The sequence below is a fragment of the Homo sapiens genome, chromosome 12 (genome assembly GCF_000001405.40).
Source record: "Homo sapiens chromosome 12, GRCh38.p14 Primary Assembly".
Taxonomy (NCBI): domain Eukaryota; kingdom Metazoa; phylum Chordata; class Mammalia; order Primates; family Hominidae; genus Homo; species Homo sapiens.
The window spans coordinates 219,512-239,948 of NC_000012.12; the positions used below are offsets into that span (position 1 = coordinate 219,512).

Sequence of the window (20,437 nt, forward strand, 5' to 3'; positions counted from 1 at the left end):
CATTCTCCAGGAAGGGGCAGCCAAGGCTGACATACAGCAGGACTGCTGTCGTTAATCTTCACCAACTCTTCCAACGACAAAAAGTCAAAAACTGAAGACAAGCAAATATTTCAGTGCATTTTTTTCCACTAGTGGACATGTGAAAAACTAAGATCACCCAGGGAAGCCTGTGCACCCTTAGACTGCAGCCCTAAGAGTCACAGGACACACCAAGGGCAGCACCAGAAGACCCATCTGAACAAAGGTGGGCACACGGGCAGGCCCCCGAGCCTGCGCATAGGCAGGGAGAGATGTAGCTGTGTGTTCAGCCACTTCCAAAACCACACACAAAGCTACAGCCAGAAATATGTGGGGCCCGGCTCCATGCCCATACGCAGAGGCAAGGCTGCAGAGACACACCTGTGGCACCCTCTGGGCACCCCCCCCCATGCCCACTGACCCCGAGTGGGGGTGGACTTCCTCCCTGCAGCTCAGGCCCTGACAGTAGAGCTGTGGCCATAGCAGTACCACCCCCTCGTGGCCACATCTGGCGGTGCCCCGGCATCCGGTGTCTCCTATCCTCAGAAGAGCGAGGCGGTCCCAAGGAAGTGGCGTCCCTCTGCTGGCTGAGCTGGGCAGTGCCCTCCTCTGCCAAGGCCCCCCAACCTGCTGCACTGGGGCGTGGTCACAGCCGGCCCTCCCCCACGTCCCCCGTGCCCAGCCTCGGTGGGCACACAGGCAGTTTTGGCCGCTGGGGGTAGGCGAGGACACAGCAGGGAAAGTGGGCAGGAGGAAACTGCCACCAGCCTTTCCCTCTCCTTTGGCTAGGACTCGGGTCTCCTTCATGCGTCCCTCAATTTCCTTTCTTATTCCACAGCACAAAGGCGGAGGAAGGAAGCTGAGGACATGTGGAGAGAGGCTGGGCAGCCTCCTCTGGTCCACATGCCTGATGATGGAGGCTCTCAGCCTGGCCCCACCACCCGCCCCCATCACCGTGCTGAGTGGGCCCCAGTGAGAACTCAATGGGGGAGGCTAGGATGGGGAGGGGCAGGGTCCTAAACCACAACAGTAACATGGGGAAGGGTGAAGGCAGCCAGGCAGGGGGCAGAAATCAGACAGAACCGCTAGCAGTCAGCGGGAAGAATGTGGATTTAATGGAATGAAGGATGAGAGGGCCCGAAGCCAGCAAGTCTCGCCCCACCTACCAGCCCCCACCCAGCTTCCCAAGGGTCTCAGAGGGACACTCTTGGCACTGGCCTTTCACATCTGTTCAACAACCCCTGAGCTGAAAAGTTGCAGTGGGAGGCCTCCAGCTCAGCAGGTGGACTCCAAAATACCCCTCTTGTCTTATCCACTCCAGGTCGGGGGCAGGGAAGCACATGGGGCTGCTTCTGCCACGTTCCCTCCACAGCCATCCCCAAGGCCAGGCACACAGGCACCATCCAAGGGCCTGCCCCCTAGCAGTGAGACTCTAGCTCTGTGAGTCTGAGCAGTGAGGTCCTGGGGGTGGCGGGAGCCGAGGGTCCTGCTGGGTTCCGCTGGGGCAGGTCCTCGGCTGGGCACATGAGCTGACGGATTCTCTGCGGGGATAGCAGAGGTGGCTGTCAGGTGGTGGAGCGGGGGCAGGTCTGCCAGCTTCCCTCATCACCAACATCTGCTGCCTCCCCACACACAAACCTGCCCTCCTGTCATCACAGCCCCTGTCTGGGAGTCCCCCTGTGTCTTCCCGAGACTTCTCAGCAGCCACTCTATCGCTCCCTGACACCCAGGCTGGGCCCACTGGCACCTCCACACAACGGTGTGCGCCCTGGCTGGCAGCCCACCTGTCGGCACCTGCGAAGCCTCCCAGCCCCTCTGGCTGCTTTCCTGCCCGCAAAGGCCCTACCTCTCTGAAGGGGCCCTTGAGGGTTCCGAGTCTGTAGAGGCTCCAGGCAGGAATGCAGACCATGGAGGACAGAGCCAGGAGCCAGCCCAGGGCATCGCCCCACCACGGGTACGTGTACTTCTTGTTGTAGGTCAGCGGAGTGTACTTTATCAGGGAGAAGAGAAAGGTGGCCTGAGGGGGAGAGCAGAAGAGAAAGGGGTTGGGGGGCGGGGGCCTTGTGCCCTCAGCTCCCCCGCTCCCCAGCAGCCTGGCAGAAATCACCCTCCAAGCCTGGATTCCCTCTAGCTCTTCTGGACCAATCAGCCTCCAATCTTCTCCATCCACACTCTGCCCAAAACCCACACCCTCCAGCAGTGTACTCTGTCACTCCAGGGCCCCTGTGCCCCTGGGCACCTCTACGTGCAGCTGACTCCCAGGTAGGATGTGATCATGTGGCCACTGCGTGCTGTGAGGTATTTACTACCTCTCCTGCACCGTGAGTTTGGGGTATGAGTACCTCAAGGGTACAGGCCATGCCTCCTTCTCCCTCTGCTCCTCAGTTATATCTGGCACACAGTGGGGAGCTCGGGAACAGCTGACACAAAGAGACAAGGCCAAAGGAAGCTGCGCGTTGTGGTTTCAGGCTCACATTCTGGAGCCAGGGTTTGAATCCCAGTTCTCTGCAACTTTCTAGCTTGGGCCAGTGGCTTAACAACCTCTTCAACCTCAGTTTCATCTGTAACACCAGTGTAACAACAGCACTTCCTTTATGGGACTCTTGTGAGGATTAAATGACTTAATACGAGTTAAAGCACCTTGTGCCCAGCACAAAGTCAGGGCTCTATACCGGCTGCTATTAGGATTGCTGTGGTTATTAGCATTTTTATGAGCAGCCCAAGGCACCCGGGTTTCAGTCCTGGCCTGTGACGTTAGACTCACACTGTGGTGTTGGTCAAACCGTCTGACAGCTCTGGACCTCAGTTTATCCTTCTGTGAAATGGAAAGGAAGAATCTATCTTGCTGTAGTTTTCTAGAATCCAAAAGGAGGATGAGTGAAAATCTAAGATGATTTTCAGTTCCTAGGGAGAAGTCCATTGCAGGGCTAACGGCTTCTCTACCCCTGCTAGCCACCGTCTCTCCCTCCCTTCATCTGACTTTATCCCTGAAATGATCTTACTGTGCACACAGCTGGTGTGAGGAAGAGCCAACAGTATTTGATAAGAGGCCATGGCCTGTACCCAATCATGTCTTCGATGTTGTCGTAGAAGCGCTTGGCTCCTACCATGGAGAAAAGAAGAAGGAAGGAGGAGAAAGTCATTCTTTGGCACCCAGGACATCAGGATGGGGCCACAAACAGACCAGAATGGGCAGGGACCCATAAAGAGATGACATCACAGCTGTCTGTTCAAGTCGTTGCTGGGAAAAAGCTCTTCCCTGGCATTCATAGGCATAAACAGCAGCAAGCAGGACTTGGCTTGGGTACAGGCAGTCACTTCCTGATTATCGAGGTTGTCAAAAGCTGAAAACATTTGGACAGGGCAGGATACTGGCCCACCTGAGGTGGTCTAGGTACAGCTATAACCAAGACTGTGGGCAAGGCAGCTTCTGGAGGGCCTTCCAAAGGTAGCAATTTAGGATTTGCAAGATTTTGGAGGTTGGGTAGGGAGGCGCCCCAGGAAAAGTTAAGTGCGAGCAGTAGATGTCTGTTTCGTGTCTAAGGACCCCAAGACCCTTAGACAAGAGGAGGATGCTGGGACCTAGGGGAGGAGTCACTCACCGTAAACCCAAGCCACACAGAGGGACTCGAAGATGGCCACGAACAGGAGGCACATGCCACTGGCCGCATAGTAGTCAAAGAGCTGGAACACGTACATTCCGCCCTGCATGGGAGGAGATTATTTTAAAAAGAAGTTTATCCAGTGGAAACAGAAAGATTCACTCCTATGCCCTTTAGCTTCACACGGTGGAGGCACAGAGCAGAGTTGGTGAGGATCACAGGAGATGGATCATAAAAGAGAAGTAATTTGTAAGCCATAAAGCATGAGGCGGATATGAGACGCTAATTATTTTTATTATTTTTTGGGACAGAATATAGATGAAATAAGACAGCTATTGTTAGATTACATCTGAGAACACTTAGGCACTGGCCACGAAGCCCAAGACATAGAGTGTACTCTTTGGGGAAAGGATCAGGATAAGGGCTGTCATTGATACTGTCAAGCTGACAAGCTCCGTCTCCCTCCTTCTCCCTTGAGATGCCACAGAATGTCACCCAGCCCCAGGCCTCCCTTTCTCGCTTTGAAGTTTGTACATAGAACTTGGTTCAGCTGCCTGGGAAATCACCAGATCTTGCTGGAGAGTCAGCTTCTCCCAATCCAATGCTCCACATACCTCTTCACTTACTGTGGAGCCAAATGGCTCCTCACCCATCCCTGGAGGTGGGTGGTCCATGCCCAAAGGCCAGAGGAGGGACCTGCCTACTTTGTCGTTCCTGGGATGGGGAAAAGAGGGAGTCCTAGTGTCCAGAAGCCCAGAAGACCTGCCCTGACCGGGAGCCAGGGTATCTGCCTCACTGACAGGTAGCAGCTGTCACTTGGCTCCTCCTCCCCAGCCTTCCCCCGCTTCCCAGGCCCTCACCTCTGTGAGCATGATCAGCCCCACAAGGAAGGAGACGACAGATACTCCAAGGATGAGGACTTCCCTCCGGTTCTTCTTGCGGAACACGTGAGGGTACATGTCCACCAGCGCTGTCACCAGGCTTTCTACACACACAAACTGGATGACAGGGCAAAGGGATTGGAGGGAAGGAGAGCTCCCGAGATGCCCTGTCCATGAGCGCTGGCTTCTCGCTCCCAGGATCAGCCCTGCCAGCCTCACTGTCTCAGGTCCCCTGAGCTATTGTCCTTGCCTGGTTAGGTCAGGACTCACCCTCAAGCTCCTGTGTCCCCAAAAGGGCATCCACTTCTGACATTCACCCATGGCTCCTCCTCCCCAGCACACACCCCCCCACTCATCTCTCAGCCTCTGAGTGGCTGCCTCTTGATACCTGGCTATCCAGTCCCAGGAGAACGACCATGAAGAAGAAACAGCAGGCCCAGAGAGGAGAGAAGGGCAGCATCACCACAGCCCGCGGGTAAGCGATGAAAGCCAGGCCAGGGCCTACGACAAGGAGCAGAGGAACACGGGCCAGTGCCCGGGCCAGCTCCAGGCTGTGGGTGACCCATGGCTTCCCAGCGTGGGGCCACAGAATAACAGGGGCTAGAGGAAACTTCACCCCAAAGTTGCTGTCACCACCACGTCCTCACCTAGGAGAAGCCACCCCAACCTCCATCTGGTTCTTGCATTTCCAAGGTACCTCTCACTGTATTCTTACTGGCAAGAACAGAATCTAGAGACGGTAGGTGTAGAGGGCTGTGGGTCTAAAACGACTCCAGATCTCCAGATCTATTGCACAGACCTGAGGTTTCAAGCCTAGAATGAGCTCAGAAGCCAGCAGGCCATAGAAGTTTGTGCAGCAGATCTAGTGCAGAATGCAAGGAGGTGGCTGGGCCTGGTGGGAAGAGGAGCGATCACGCCCCAGCTCCTCGCGATGTTCCGTTGTATTTGTACGGAATGTAGATGGTACCAAAAAAATCGCTCCAAGGCCAGAGTTGGCCTCCAGTTACCACCTCTGCGCCCGGAGCCCTTTCTGTCACCCTGCAATGACTACACTGGCACTGGTTTCAGAATGCCGCTGACACACGCCCTCGCGGCGCGTGAATGTTTCTCTCGACTGACTCATATGGCAGGAAAACATGCACGTAATAAAGCCTGAGTCCACCCATGGGAAGTTCCTCTGAAGAGTGAAGAGCATCACTGTGACCTCGGAGGTCTTTTGCTTCTGCCAGTCCCAGCTCCCACATTGGTGAGGTGGGGGTTGTGCAGGGCCTGCCCGCAGGTTTCCGTTGCATGGTACGAGTAGAGTGCCTCGCCCAGCACCTGGCGTACAGTCAACACTTAGAAAGTGAGACACGGGCCAGCCATGGCGGCTTATGCCTATAATCCCAGCACTTTGGGAGGCTGGGGTGGGTGGATCACTTGAGGCCAGAGGTTCAAGACCAGCCTGGCCAACAAGGTGAAACCCTGTCTCTACTAAAAATACAAAAATTAGCCGGGCGTGGTGGCACATGCCTGTAATCTCAGCTACTCGGGAAGCTGAGGCATGAGAATCACTTCAGCCCGGGAAGCGGAGGTTGCAGTGAGCCGAGATCATGTCACTGCACTCCAGCCTGAGTGACAGAGCAAGACTCTATCTCAAACAGTTTAAAAAAAAAAAAAAAAAGAGGGAGAGAGAGACACTATCGTTCTTAAAGAGAATCACAGACATCCACTGCCCAGGGCTTGGCATCCTGTGTGGCCCAGGCGTGCTTCTGAATGCCAAGGTAAAAAAATCATATTATTACAGGGCAAAGTAGGTGAGCAAGAGAAACATTTTATGGCTTATCCAGACTGGGGCCTGGGCCTTGATGTTATTTGAAAGCAGCAAAATAGCACTGCATGGTGGAAAGGCAGTCACTCACAAAAGAGGGAAACCCTATCTGCTGATGGAAACTTCGCCTTGAGATTCATTTTATAGTGAACAAAACGAGGCCAGGTGCGGAAGAGTGTGTATAATATGTTATCATTTGGTTTTTTAAGAAGGAGGCAAGAAATAGAAATAGTAATATGTATTGCATGTATATGTCTGTATATATATTTTTTCTCATATATGTCTAAACTATTTCTGGAAGGATAAACATGAAATAGATAACATTGGCTGCTTCCAGGGTAATGAACTGGAAGCCAAGGATGGGAAGAAAAATGTTCACTGTAGGCCTACTCTTTAAAGCTGGAATGACTGTTTCAATTCTCCGCCAAGTCTTCCCAGAACGCATCCACTGAATGGTGGCCGTAGCTCACCCAGAGTGCAGGTGACACAATGGAAACGCCTCTAGACGCTTGCTGCCAGAGGTTTGAACCAGGCTCACTGCCTCCAGGCCTCCCCAGTAACACTCACCTGACTCGGCCACCTCAGAAATGGGCACCCCCTGCTCCTGAGACATGAAGCCCAGGATGGAGAAGATGGCAAAGCCGGCCACAAAGCTGGTGCCGCTGTTGAGGAAGCAGAGGGCGATGCAGTCCCTGTGGGGCAGGGGTGAGGAGAGGGCGGAATGGCAGGGTCAGAACAGGGCTGCAACCTCTCCTGCTTCCTGTCTGGGAGCACAGCCCCTCCTGGCGGACACTGTCCTGGCCCCTTCACGGACGCCGGAGCAGGGCTACCTGGCAGAATTCAGAGGACCACGCAAAGCACTGGCTCTCCTCCGACACTCCTCGGCCCCACCAGCCCAGGGACGGAATAAATCAAGGTAGTCCTAAAAGAATGCGGCTCCAGGGAAGCAAAACATGGATCTAGATGTGACAAACCGCCACACAGCCGCCCCTCTCTACCACGTAGGTCCACACCGCATGGGACGCCACCACTCTGCCATCATCCCATCTGGCATGCTAATGGGTAATCCCAAACAACAAATAACTCTTAGTCGCCTGAATTCAATTTTGAGAGGCACCATATGATTTCACTTCAGCTGTGTTTCAGCGTGTATTAAAATTGGCTTAAATTTTCTGAGCACAAACCAGGTAGGCAAGGAGAGAACGAGGGGGACAGGATGTGAAGTGAGGGAGATGGTGTGAAAAAGGGGCAAGGATTCAAAGTTTTGGGGGCAGATTTACCAAGCAAGCAAGACTGGGGTGCACAGTAGGACCTCACTTCACATCATGGATACATTCTCGCAAATTGCCATTTTAAGCAAAACAACCTATAATGAAACCAGTTTTTTTTCTCTCATCAAAGTTATAAGGAAACGACATTATTCAAAGACCTGTGGTGCTTCTCAGGCTTGCTTACCCAGCACTCCTGAGCCCACTAACCTCTACATCAGCCAGGAGGCCAGGCACCCCTGCTGTGGTCTCCCAGCCAATCACAACTATCCCACCCTTTCGGATGCAATTCTCTGTCCATCTTGCAGTTGGCTCCTTGCAGCTCCTGGTAGCCCTGGGGTGTTGGATATGGGGGTGTAGACAGGGGGGCAGATCCAGGAGCTGATGCACCCTCCAACTCACCCTCGTCTAGCGTGGCTGGAAGGACAGTAGAGAGATGCAGGTGTGTGGCTCAGGCCCCACGCCCCCAATCACCTGTAGCAGTTGTTGTGGTACTTGTTGTAGCTGCCCAGGGCTGTCAGGCACCCAAGACAGATGGCGAAGGAGAAGAATATCTGGGTGCCTGCATCCATCCACACCTACAAAGGGGAAGGGCAAGAAAGGTGAACTCCCAGGAAAGCCAGGCCATTCAAGCCATGGGCGGACACAGGCATGTGGCTGAGCCAGACACTGGCTAGGGATGGCGAGAAACCTGTTCTCAGCCAACACTTGCATCCTGCTACCTCTGCTCACCCCAGTGGGCTCTACTCCCTGGACTCCTAGGTGAAGTTTCTTGGGCACTACTAGGATAGAACAGGCATTAGGCATTCAAAGAAAATGAAAAAGACTAAAAGACCCATGGTGGAAGCGTGTAGGAGGGTGGGACAGGGCTCTAGAATGAAGCTAGGTCTCCTGTCAGGTTTTTGATCCTAGGTTCTGCCCCCACTCTCTCCTATGACCAGTGTGGAGGAATCCAGGCACAGGGTCTCCAGGAACACTGTCCCTAATAGCAGGGCCACCACCAGTATGTAGCTTTGCCCCTCACGTCTCAGCAACCTCTGTCTAAAGACAGGGAGAGTAATTCTCGGCTCACAAAAAGGCAAAAGGACGAACAGAAACACCTCTGAAAAGGGCTTTGTACTCCTTGGGAGGGAAAAAAATCACAGTCCAGCTAAACATAGAGTTCAGTTGTTATTGTTATTATCTCAGCTGGCTCGCCCAGCCCGTGCATGTTATGATTTAGATCTAACAGCTAGAATAACATCCCAGACAGAAAAAACATCAAGGCAACAGGACCGAGCGACCCTGCAGATCTGCAGGACCCTCCCCAGGAGCTCCTGCCCCTGGCGACGTGAGCACAACCAGGGAGCACCCCGCTATGGACGCAGACATCCAAGCAGGTGTTCCTCATGTGTCTGTGTTCCTAATGGAAAGGGCGCCGGATGACCCGTCCATGTCTTTTGCTCAGCCTCATTCCAGAACCCCCCCAAGCAGGCCCCTGCTTTCCACAAAACCCTCTATCCTTTCATCACTCTCTTCCGCTAATATCAGGCCTCCAATTCCTCAGTCCCTTCCTGGTCTTTGCCTGCCTCCCTAGGCATGGTCACCACCCTCAGCCCCTACCCCTTGCTCCCTCCTTTCACGCTCACCCCTACCAAAGTGGCCACATTTCTCAGCAGTGTAGAGGCCTGAGGGATCCATCAGCAGGCTGACCACCTCAGAATCACGCTGATTCCTCAGCCAGCATCCCCAGTCAAGACACTGAATCCCTAGGCCTGAAGGAGAACCCAGAACTCGTATGCTTTTCCGAGCTTCCTGGGTGATCCTAATGGTCACCAGGTATGGGATGCTGTCCTATGGCCCCTGCATCAGGGGTGCACCCAGGGCACCCATCCTCTCATCATGTCTCCATTCTGCAGGGCCAGGGACAGAGCAAGGAAGACGGTGGGGAAAGGGGAAAATGTCTCCAGCCTCCCATTCTTGAGTTCACTGGGAATCCTGTCCTGAGGTGGTCTGTGAGGCAGGAGGTGCCACCAGGGACAAGGGGTGAGCAGCAAGAAGCACAGAGGAGGATTTGGAGGGGCTGGAGCCAGGGAGGAAATCACACAGAGCAGGAAATGCTGGGAATGAAATGCAAGAAAAGGACAGGGAATGAAGGACAGACCCTGGGACAGGCAAGGGGGTGTTTGCAAACTGCAGTGTCTCACTTCTCCCCGTTTAAAAAAAGAAAAGTTTCAGTGTGATGCCACACCAATTTTGAGGAGATGCCTTGGCCAGTCTGTTTGCTCCTTCAAGATGTTCTAAATCCTTTTTTCTCTTCTAAAACTCTGCCACACAGCTCCTGCAAAGATAGTCATCTCAGGAAAACTCACTGACGTTGGCATGAAAGTCACTCGGTTCTATCTCATTCCTGCTTCACTGGCTAAGTTACTGGCAGCTTCAAGAGCAGGACCTTCTGGCAAAAGGCCCTGAGCTTATAGAGAAAGTGCTTCCCCAGGGTCAGAGGTGTAAGGGCTCAGGACCAATGCACGTCTCCTGGGACCCACGGGTACTGCCCCTTCATGAGGTCGGGCGCCCCCTCCCAAAAAGGTCATTCAGGGTGTGTCCCGGGAGCCCGGAGTCCTCGCGCCTTGGACATTTGCTCCCAGGCCTGACGGTGCGCTGGGTGCAGACTGGGCCATGAATTACCAAGGAAACACGCCGCGGCTGCCCACACACATTCAGAGGCACAAGCCTGATACGGGCATCTTTGTGAACTTGTGCTTGGGAAGGAATAATAAGAGAAATCGTGACTTGGCCATTTACCTCGCCTCGGCAGGGGTGGGAGGTCGGAGTGGGGTCATATGGAGACTGAATTGGGGGAGAGGTTAATGAGAACTAAGGAAAATGCGGCAGGAGGCTGAGAACCCAGAGCGCAAGGGTCAATGCACTCTTCTTTGACCAAAGCCCCCTCGCTGGGAGCTTGGCAAGCCCCAGCTCCCCACACAGCTGCTGCCCAACAGGCCTGCTGGGATGGGGAAGAGAACGGGGTCAGAGCAAGCTGTTCCATTCCCACCACAGGCGACCACTCCCTGCCCACTCCACGAGCCCTGGTTTCTGGAATAAAGCTCTGATTTGTCTCTGGCTAGGGCAGAAGGCCGACCAAGGGAAAAATAAGTGTAAAAAATTCTGGGTGGAACGCAGGTAAAAGAGGTCTTGGGGGGAAGGAGGAGGAGAGGGGACTCTAGAAGATCTGGGAAAGATGTTTTCAGCCTCAAGTCCAACCCCCAGGATTATTAATATCTATCTACTATTTTTAGGAAGGCAATGTTGTGTAATGGAAAAGCACAGCTTTGAAGTTACATTAATCTGGGCTCAATTCCTGACCTTATTAATTACTGGCTGTGCGATCTTAGGCAAGTCACTTAACCTCCCTGAACCTCCCTTTTCTCATCAGGAAAATGGGTATAATAACAAATAAAATAATGCATGTAAAATGCCTAACACATAAATAAATATTAGTTTCCTATCTCACCTTCTGGAATAATAAAAAGCAGCTCTTAAAACTCTCAAGTAATTCATATTCTTTGGGAACTATCATGGTAAATAAGACAGCAGTCATCAAAAGACTGCTTGAGATAAAACCCACGCTCCCCCACATGCTGGTTTTGTGATTCGGGGCAAGTTTCTTAAGTTTCCTAAGCTTCTGTTTCTCCATCCGTAAGATGAGGCTGACCCCAAACTCACAGGGTTGAACTGTGTCAAGCACTCAGCAAAGGGCCTGGCGAATAAGAGGGACATAATAAGGTTAGCTTTGGCCACTGTTTACTGCTGCTATTATTTTAAAAAGCAACTCATCTTTCATTGATAATGAGGTGGCATAGATTGGATTTCAATACTAAAATAAAGACTAGTTCTAATCGGTGATTTCAGCTTCCTCCCTAAACAAACCTTTCCTTAGACTTGCTTAACGCAGGGATCTAAAAGCTTCCACGAGGGTTCTTTGGATGTCCTCCTCCCATCCCCCGCCCTCAGCAACCTCCTAAAGTGCAGTAGAACAGGCACAGGGCCAGGACCCGGGAAAGAAACAAGTGGTCTGAGTAAAGCACACGCTCCAGCAGAGCCCTGGGTCTCCAGTGGCCAGTCCCCAGGGGGAGGAGACAAGGCCTGGGGATACCGGGAAAGGCAGCAACCTGCCCCTCAAACAGCGAGCCTGGCAGAAAAAGGGGAGCAAACGAGAGGGGAGCACAGCGTTGTCTCTGCCTGGCTCCCCACAACCGGCCTCAGTGCTTGGCAGAGAGATGCGTCTTTGGTCTGTGTCGGGGAGAAGACATTTTGCACCCTTCTCAAGTGCCAGGCGAATGCCAGTTAGAATGATCACACTTCCTGGGGAGTGCCAACTAGATTCAATTAGGGCTCTGGCAAAGCACCCCCACCCTGCAGGTGCTGCTTTGTTCACTGACAACAAAGGCCTAGCTTCAGCATGAGACTTGGACCAGGCAGAGAAGAAGGCTGCTCAGGACCAGTCCTGGCACTTGAGCCATCCCCCTCCCCACAGCCCCAAAGCACTTGGAACACAGATGCTCCCTGCACAGCCCAAAGCTGGCTGGAATGGAAAGAATGGTATCCCAGAGTAGAGACTGAAAGAGGTCTTTGTCCCTGCAGTCACCCAGACAGAGACTTATGGCCTCATTAATGCTCAGAAGTTGAAAGCTACCTGGTCCACCTTCTTTATGTTTTCTGGAAGCTGTTATATACCAAACATGGCACCTGGAACAGATCCGGCACATAGTAGGTGCTCATAGTAGATTCACTCAGGTTTTTGCTGAATGAATAAGCTGTGAGAGAAACAAAGGTGAGTGGCCAGGGACCTCGTCTCCAAGAGTGGATCATAAAGTGCATGGGATTCGTCATCATTCAGACCCAGTCCCAGTTGCAGATGTGAGGATGAAAACATGCATTAAGCTCTCTAGGCCTTAATGTCCTAATCTATAAAATGGGGATGCCTTGTTGATCTGCTGTGAGCGTTTGCTGAAATAATGCATGTAAGCCTCTTAACAATGTCAGGGACAGAGTAAGCACGCCCTAGTTGTTAGCTACAAATAGCTGATCAGGACAAAGCCATGAATCTGTTGTGGAAACACTAAGACCCTCTGTCCTTTTTCTCTGCCAGCCTACCTGCCTGTCACCTTTCCTGATCATGCCTCCTTCCTCTCCGGCCTACCCGCAGACAAAGGTGATCTTTGTAGCTTAGCCACTGGTTCTCAACTCTGCCCCTCCAGAACCACAGTGGCTTTCTCTTGTGTGGGGAATCCAAGCCAAACTCTTCACCCGGCTTCAAAGCCTCCCCTCCACTCAGCTTCCCCCTACAACTCCTGCTCGCCACCTACCATCCATCACAACCCTGTGGTCCCAGATAAGTCAAAGGGCTTATGATTCACAAAACAAAGATACCCTTTGCCTGGTCTGCCATAATTACTGGCTGCACAACCTTAGGCCACAGTGTGCTCATCTTACAATGAGGAACGTGCACTGGAATCCTTCTAGGACCCTGGTTGTGCTTCTACAGTTTGGCTCCAAAGCCTGACCGCTGCCCTCGTACCCTGCGTGGACATGAGGCAGTAGCAATCTGTATCTCCATGCTGTCTGAGAAATGGGAGAAGGGAAGGATAAGCTCCTATCCCACCAGAAGGTTATTGAGAAACACTCAGGACCAGGGCTACTTGACTCTGCAGGGAGGTTTCTGAATAGCCATGGTCTGTCTGCTTCTGGAAGCCACAGCGTCCCAGCAGAGCTCAGGATGAAAGAATCAAAACCTGGCCAGAGTGGCCAGGAGACCTGAGGACAGTTTGGCTTCCGGATAGCCTGACATTCTGCCCCAGGGGGAGTCATTGCCCCTGTGTGCACAGAGCTCCCAGCCTCAGTGTGCCTGTCGCCTCTCTTGCTCCCTGTCAGCAACATCAGTGAATATGCTGGTGCCCGACTATTTTAAACGTTTGGAAAGCCATCCCAGTGTGTCTTCCACGTGCTGGGAGCCACCCGCCCTTATGTCTCCTTGGGGCTTCTTTCATAGACATGGAGAGACTCCAGCAACAAGAGGAGGAGCTCTAGGTTGCACACTCACTCCCCCGGCAGGGTGGTCTCTGCACCCAGGAGGCAGAGGCAGGGCATAACCGGGTAACAACACTTCAGGGCCTCTGGGGCGGAGCTTACCCACGCACCCCTCCGGCCCTCGACACCTCCTGGCTTTGCCAGCTTTCAGATGGCTGCCAAAGAGGGGAAGGTAAGAGACCTGTCAGAGGCAGGGCCTGCCCATTCCAGGCCTTGCTTTCCAACCCCCTTCAGGCAGCAGGCAACACCACCCCTCCCTACCCGGACGGTAAAAAAGCCCGCTGTAGTAGAGGGAGTGCAGACCACGAAGGAAGGGTGGGGAGGAGACCCGGAGCCTCTGGACAACTGACAGGGAAACTTAACACTAGCCCAGCTGGCTGAGGGCAGGGCCAGGGAGCTGCGGCCTAGACATGGGTCACATGGGCAGAGGGAGGGAACCAGGAGGCAGATTGAGGGGTAAGAATTAAAGAGGAAGCTCAGTAGGAGATGAGCTCCCAAGAGATAAATGTACGAAGCGGGTGGGGAGAGGAGGGGAGAAGGACACCCTTGAGTAAGGACTGTGAGTGACACTTATGGCCCTTGAGAGATATTACTAGAAATACTACCCTAGTGATATTTGCCTGGGTTCCCTGGCAGCTGTGAACCCAAGAAGGGACAGTGTCAGACACCTTATGACCACAAACAGCTGCTAACATGTCAGAGGCATTTGAACCACAGCGGCTCCAGCTTGAATAGGGGCTGGGTAAAATAAAGCTGAGACCCACTGGGGCTGCATTCCCAGGAGGTAAGGCATTCTAAGTCACAGGATGAGACAGGAGGTCGTCACCTCACAAGATACCAGTCATAAAGACCTTGCTGATAAAACAGGTTTCAGTAAAGAAGCTGGCCAAAACCCGTCAAAACCAAGATGGCAACAGAAGTGAACTCTGGTCCTAGAGGAGGAGCTCTAGGTTGCACGCTCACTCCCCCGGCAGGATGGTCTCTGCGCCCAGGAGGCAGAGGCAGGGCATAACCGGGTAACCACACTTCAGGGCCTCACCACCAATTATATGTAAATTATTATGCATTAGCATGCTGAAAGACACTCCCACCAGCTCCATGACAGTTTACAAATGCCATGGCAACGTCAGGAAGTTAACCTCTATGGTCTAAAATGGGAGGGAACCCTCAGTTATGGGAATTGCCCACACCTTTCCAGGAAACTAATGAATAATCCGCCCCTTATTTAGCATATAATCAAGAAATAACCATAAAAATGGGCAACCAGTAGCCCTGGGGCTGCCCTGCCTATGGAGTAGCCATTCTTCATTCCTTTATTTCATTTTATTTTATTTTATTTCATTTTATTTTATTTTATTTCATTTTATTTTATTTTAGAGACAGAGTCTCACTCTGTTGCCCAGGCTAGAGTGCAGTGGCGCGATCTCAGCTCACTGCAACCTTCGCCTCCTGGGTTCATGCCATTCTCCTGCCTCAGCCTCCTGAGTAGCTGGGACTACAGGTGCGTGCCACTACACCCGGCTAATTTTTGTATTTTTAGTAGAGGTGGGGTTTCACTATGTTGGCCAGACTGGTCTCGAATTCCTGACATCAAATGATCCACCCACTTCGGCCTCCCAAAGTGCTGGGATTACAGGCATGAGCCACTGTGCCTGGCCTCCTTTACTTTCTTAATAAGCTTGCTTTTGCTTTATTCTACTCCCCCCAAATTCCTTCTTGTGAGAGGTCCAAGAACCCTCTCTTGGGGTCTGGATTGAGACCCCTTTCCGGCAACAAACAGATGTCTAGAGAAGGAAGGGTGCACCTCTGCTGCCACTGTGGACACCCTAGGGTAGTGCTAGGTGCGGGGGTTCCCCGTCAGAGTGCAGGGAAAGCCTGAAGCTCAGTTGCCCTGGGAGTCACGTGAGGGCTCCTGTCTGTGGCTTCTTACCTGGGGATCCCACAGACGCGTGAGGTTTGGGTACAGGTAAAACTGAATTCCTTGGGCTGCCCCAGGCAACGTCACCCCTCGAATTAACAGGACCACCAGCATGAGGTAAGGAAATGTGGCCGTGAAGTACACCACCTGGTCATGGGCAAATGAGAGACAAGGAGCTTGTGAGTGAGGAAGCAGCAGGGGCAGGAGGCAGGGGCAGGAGGCAGGGGCAAGAGCTCCTCAGAAAAGGTCAAGGGAGTGTTCCTCCTGCTCCCAGCTCATCCACAGCTGTTTAGTTCTGTTGCAGGAAGTTAGGGACCCCGAATGGAGGGACTGGCTGGAGCCACGGCAGAGGAACATTAATTGTGAAAATTTAATGGACACTTATCAGTTTCCAAATAATACTTTTATAATTTCTTATGCCTGTCTTTACTTTAATCTCTTAATCCTGTTATCTTCATAAGCTGAGGATGTACATCACCTCACCTCAAGACCACCGTGATAATTGTATTAACTGTACAAATTGATTGTAAAACACGTATGTTTGAACAATATGAAATCAGTGCACCTTGAAAAAGAACAGAATACTAGCGATTTTTAGGGAACAAGGGAAGACAACCATAAGGTCTGACTGCCTGTGGGGTCGGGCAAAAACAGCCATATTTTTCTTCTTGCAGAGAGCCTATAAACGGACGTGCAAGTAGGAGAGATGTCGCTAAATTCTTTTCCTAGCAAGGAATATTAATATTAATACCCTGGGAAAGGAATGCATTCCTGGGGGGAGGTCTATAAATGGCCGCTCTGGGAATGTCTGTCTTATGCAGTTGAGATAAGGACTGAGATATGCCCTGGTCTCCTGCAGTACCCTCAGGTTTACTAGGGTGGGGAAAAACTCTGCCCTGGTAAATCTGTGGTCAGACCAGTTCTCTGCTCTTGAACCCTATTTTCTGTTATTTAAGATGTTTATCAAGACAATACGTGCACCGCTGAACATAGACCCTTATTAGTAGTTCTGTTTTTGCCCTTTGCCTTGTGATCTTTGTTGGACCCTTATTAGTAATTCTGCTTTTGCCCTTTGTCCTGTTCCCTCAGAAGCATGTGATCTTTGTTAGACACTTATTAGTAGATCTGCTTTTTGCCCTTTGAAGCATGAGATCTTTGTACCTACTCCCTGTTCTTACACCCCCTCCCCTTTTAAAACCCTTAATAAAAACTTGCTGGTCTGAGACTCAGGTGGGCATCGTGGCCCTACCAATATGTGATGTCACCCCCAGCGGCCCAGCTGTAAAATTCCTCTCTTTATACTGTCTCTCTTTATTTCTCAGCCAGCCGACACTTATGGAAAATAGAAAGAACCTACTTTGAAATATTGGGAGCGGGTTCCCCGGATATAGTTCCATCTCCCCTATCCCTTGAGCCACAGCCTCCCCTCTTCCCTTCCTCCCTCCAGCTAAAAGCTCCCACCTCCCCTGACACATATTCAATAAATATTTGTTGAGTGGCTGAATGACATTTGGCATTCTCCCAATAAGTGTGCTTAGCGTTCATGGCAAGGATTGTCAGATATGAAAAGATTTGTGACACATGACCTCTGTCCTCATGGAGCTTACTAGCTTAGCACAACCAGGCAGCCAGATTAGGAGAGGCCCCCAGGGCAAGAGTTCAGGAGAATTCAGAATGCCCTCTTTGCTCCAGGGCAAAGAGTCCCCTGGAATTCTTGAGTTGATTAAGAATCATTTTGAGATGAAGAGTCTTCATGGAATTCTTTTTCCAAAGAACTGTTGTATGAATTAGGGAACCATGACTTGTGTTCAATTTGCAATGTGCCCACCCATCGTCAGTTCCAAGATCAGATTACCCTGGAGGTGTCCTTCCTGCCTTTCTCGCTCTCTTCCAGTCCCAAAAACCAGAAGTATGTGAGTCTAGGAGAGGCGGAGAATCAAGGAAGGGAGCCACATCAAATCCTCGCTGGGTCATCGCCTCCCATCCTCAACGGGGCCACAGCTTAGAGAACTCCTGGGTGACAGCCCCCAGTGAGGGCAGGAGTCCGGGAATGGGAGGGGCAGGAGCTCCCCACACGAACCTTGCCTGTGGACTTCACCCCCTTCCAGATGCAGAAGTAGCAGATGACCCAGGCCAGCAGGAGGCACAGAGCCAGCTCCCAGCGCAGGGCCCCCAGGTGCTGGATCCCATCAGAGATCTTCAAGACCCGCCGCCTGGGGAGAGAAGGGTTGAACCTGGCTTACTTTTTCTGCCAGCCTCAGTTTTGTGGCCCCGTCCTGGGACAGTGGAGCTGAGCCTGCCTCCAGGCTCTTGTCCAAAGGCTTCTCTGCTCTCTTCACATGAGGCCATCCTTAGCCCAGAGCTGGAGGTGGACATAAAGGTGGAGAATGGAGACTGTTCCAGGTAAGTTTGCTCTGAGTGCTTTGTCCCCAGCCAAGGGAAGGAGGTGCAGGCACCTATGTTTCCAACCAGGGTTTCAGGACCTTTTGACAGCAGGACTCTTGCCCTGGGTGAATATCAGTACTGGGGGGAGGGGGTGGGTCAGAGTCCACACTCTTGCAGCCACAGGGAGGAGGAAGTGCGGAGTGAGAGCACATATGCACACACACTCTCTAACACGGGGCGGGGGTGCGGGCAAGGAAGGCCAGGCACAGCCCCAGGAGAACTGCAGAAGTCTCATCTCTGAAACCAGTCCTGCAATAACCACAAACATAGGCACCACAGAAAAAAGCCACTTAGTGGAAATTCTTCCCTTGCTGTCCATTGAGAGTGACCTTGGTGTGTACTCCTCCCCATACCCTTCTTCTGAACACACGGCCCACAGTGGGTGGGGAAGGGTCTCACTTACTCCCAGAACTCGATGACAGGAGAGGTGGCATTCTCAGAGGTACCATTCAGGGAGCCGTTGGTCTTCTGGAACTCCATACAGTGTTCTACCCATGGGTCACGAGGAGGGAAAAAAGAGAAAAATCATCAGCCAGCCTATGACACAACTGGAGAGTGGGGTGAAATTCTAGGAGAATGGGAAGGAAGGTATTTGGCAGGAGCCAGGCTAAGGTTATCTGTACAAAACATCCTCCCACACGTAATAACCTCAACAAATGCAGCTCACTCTCTCCCGCACACTTGGACATGTGGGTACATAGATGCTTGGGTATACATTCTCCTCAAGCATGATCAGATGGCAACAGGAAAGGTGCTCTTCAGGTCAGCTGCTTCAAGGCATGCTAACATTTCTATGTAAGCGTCCTGTGCAAAGTCACCACCTTCGAGGAATAATAAGAGGGAAGTGATGTGTCAGAGTGGCCGAGAGCGCAGGTTGGAAAGCTCTGGCTTGAATGCTGACCCCACGGGTATGAACTGTGCAGCTGTGGGTAAGTTATAACTCAGCTCTCTGTGTTTTGCTTCGCTCGTCTCTAAAATGCAGACAGTAAGATCCATTACGTAGGATTGATAAGAAATTAAATGAAAACGTGGATGTAGAGTGCTCAATAAGTGGTGCTCTTTATTATTTGTGTGTGACTTTGGAGTTTTACAAAGAGTACTGACTTTTTTAGGTTTGATAAATACAATAATCCTGGGAAATATTAAGACAGATACTGTTTTCCCCATTGTGCCCATGAAGACGGTGGATCTTCTTAGAAATGGCCTGTATCTGCTCATGAATGACCAAGTGTAGGCTGGAACCCAGGTCAGCAAATTGTCTGGGTTCCACCTTCAAAATATCCAGACTGATCCTTCTGTCACCTCTACCACCACCCGGTACAGGGTGGCAGCATCAGCTCCCGGCTCCTACCTGGCCTTCGGTTTTCACCCTTGTTCCCCTCGTGGAATCTCCATTTTGTTAAACCTTAGATCACTCTATGTCACACCCCAGGTAAAGGCCTCCCGTGGGTTTCCCGTCCCACTCAAAGAAAAAAGCTGCAGCCCCTTTAGTTGCCTTCAAGGCCATATTGGATGCATTCCACACCATTCCCCTCAGCCACCTGCTCTACCACGTCCACCCTGTTCCCTGCACACGTGGGGTGTGTTGGATCCATTCCCACACCATTTCCCTCAGCCACATGCTCTACCACGTCCACCCTGTTCCCTGCCCCTTCAGCCACGTGCTCTACCACGTCCACCCTGTTCCCTGCACACATGGGTTGTGTTGGATCCATTCCCACACCATTCCCTTCAGCCACCGGCTCTACCACGTCCACCCTGTTCCCTGCACACGTGGGGTGTGTTGGATCCATTCCCACACCATTCCCCTCAGCCACCGGCTCTACCACGTCCACCCGGTTCCCTGCACACGTGGGGTGTGTTAGATGCCGTGCCTCCTCAGTTCCTTCTTCCTAGAGTTCTTGTCCCCCAGCTCAATGACTCGTTCCCCCTCCTCCTTCAGACCAATGCTGAAGGGGCATCTCAGTAAGGCCTTTCCTGACCATGCCACTTAAAATTGCAATCCCACCCATGAAACTCACAGTCTCTGTTTTATTTTCCTCCATAGCCCATCTTCTAACACGACATGTGCTGCTGCTTTCTAAGCAGACACTTCTTATTCACTTGTTTTGTTTATGTCTACCTCCCATCGCTACAATGAAAGCCCCAGGAGGGTGGGGTCTTTGTTTTTGTTTATTACCATATTTCTGGTGCTCAGAACAGAGCCTGGCATATAGCAGGAGCTCAACAAGTATCTGCTGGGTGACTGAAGGCCAGCTAGGTGCTCTCTCCACTAAACCATTCACTTTCCTGGACGCTGCAGTGCACCCAGAAAAGCATTATTTCATCTTGGCGGGACAGCGTGTCTCGTGCTATTCAAATGCTAGGCTCTGAGTAAAACCAGGCTCACTAAGAGAGATGTCAACAATGTCAAAAAATAATACTCA

At 52.0% G+C, this 20,437-nt stretch overlaps 1 protein-coding gene across 6 annotated transcripts in view, besides 1 other annotated feature; it reads right to left on the reverse strand.

The window, feature by feature from the left end:
* Positions 1–1,110: 1,110 nt before the first annotated feature.
* The window catches only part of SLC6A13 (solute carrier family 6 member 13), a 42,215-nt gene continuing 22,888 nt past the window's right edge, over positions 1,111–20,437 (reverse strand). For 2 of the 6 annotated variants that reach the window (NM_001190997.3, NM_016615.5), the window contains 11 exons: positions 18,415–18,499; positions 17,647–17,779; positions 15,579–15,713; positions 8,054–8,157; positions 6,879–7,003; positions 4,890–5,002; positions 4,481–4,618; positions 3,621–3,723; positions 3,021–3,121; positions 1,865–2,035; positions 1,111–1,559 (listed from right to left, as the gene is read on the reverse strand). In NM_001190997.3, coding sequence (NP_001177926.1) covers positions 1,437–1,559; positions 1,865–2,035; positions 3,021–3,121; positions 3,621–3,723; positions 4,481–4,618; positions 4,890–5,002; positions 6,879–7,003; positions 8,054–8,157; positions 15,579–15,713; positions 17,647–17,779; positions 18,415–18,499 — 1,331 coding nt within the window. In that variant the 3' untranslated portion in view covers positions 1,111–1,436. Of the gene's footprint in view, positions 1,560–1,864; positions 2,036–3,020; positions 3,122–3,620; positions 3,724–4,480; positions 4,619–4,889; positions 5,003–6,878; positions 7,004–7,141; positions 7,234–8,053; positions 8,158–15,578; positions 15,714–17,646; positions 17,780–17,809; positions 18,058–18,414; positions 18,500–18,659; positions 18,833–20,437 lie in introns of those variants that run through there. The other 4 variants (XM_047429420.1, XM_017019845.2, XM_017019842.2 and 1 more) reach the window with 4 other exon arrangements.
* Positions 1,238–2,193: an enhancer, noted in NCBI's record as "H3K4me1 hESC enhancer chr12:329915-330870 (GRCh37/hg19 assembly coordinates)". NCBI's record gives its function as "activates a minimal SCP1, AML or CMV promoter by ChIP-STARR-seq in naive H9 embryonic stem cells {active_cell/tissue: H9 hESC(naive)}" and the evidence as "EXISTENCE:reporter gene assay evidence [ECO:0000049][PMID:30033119]".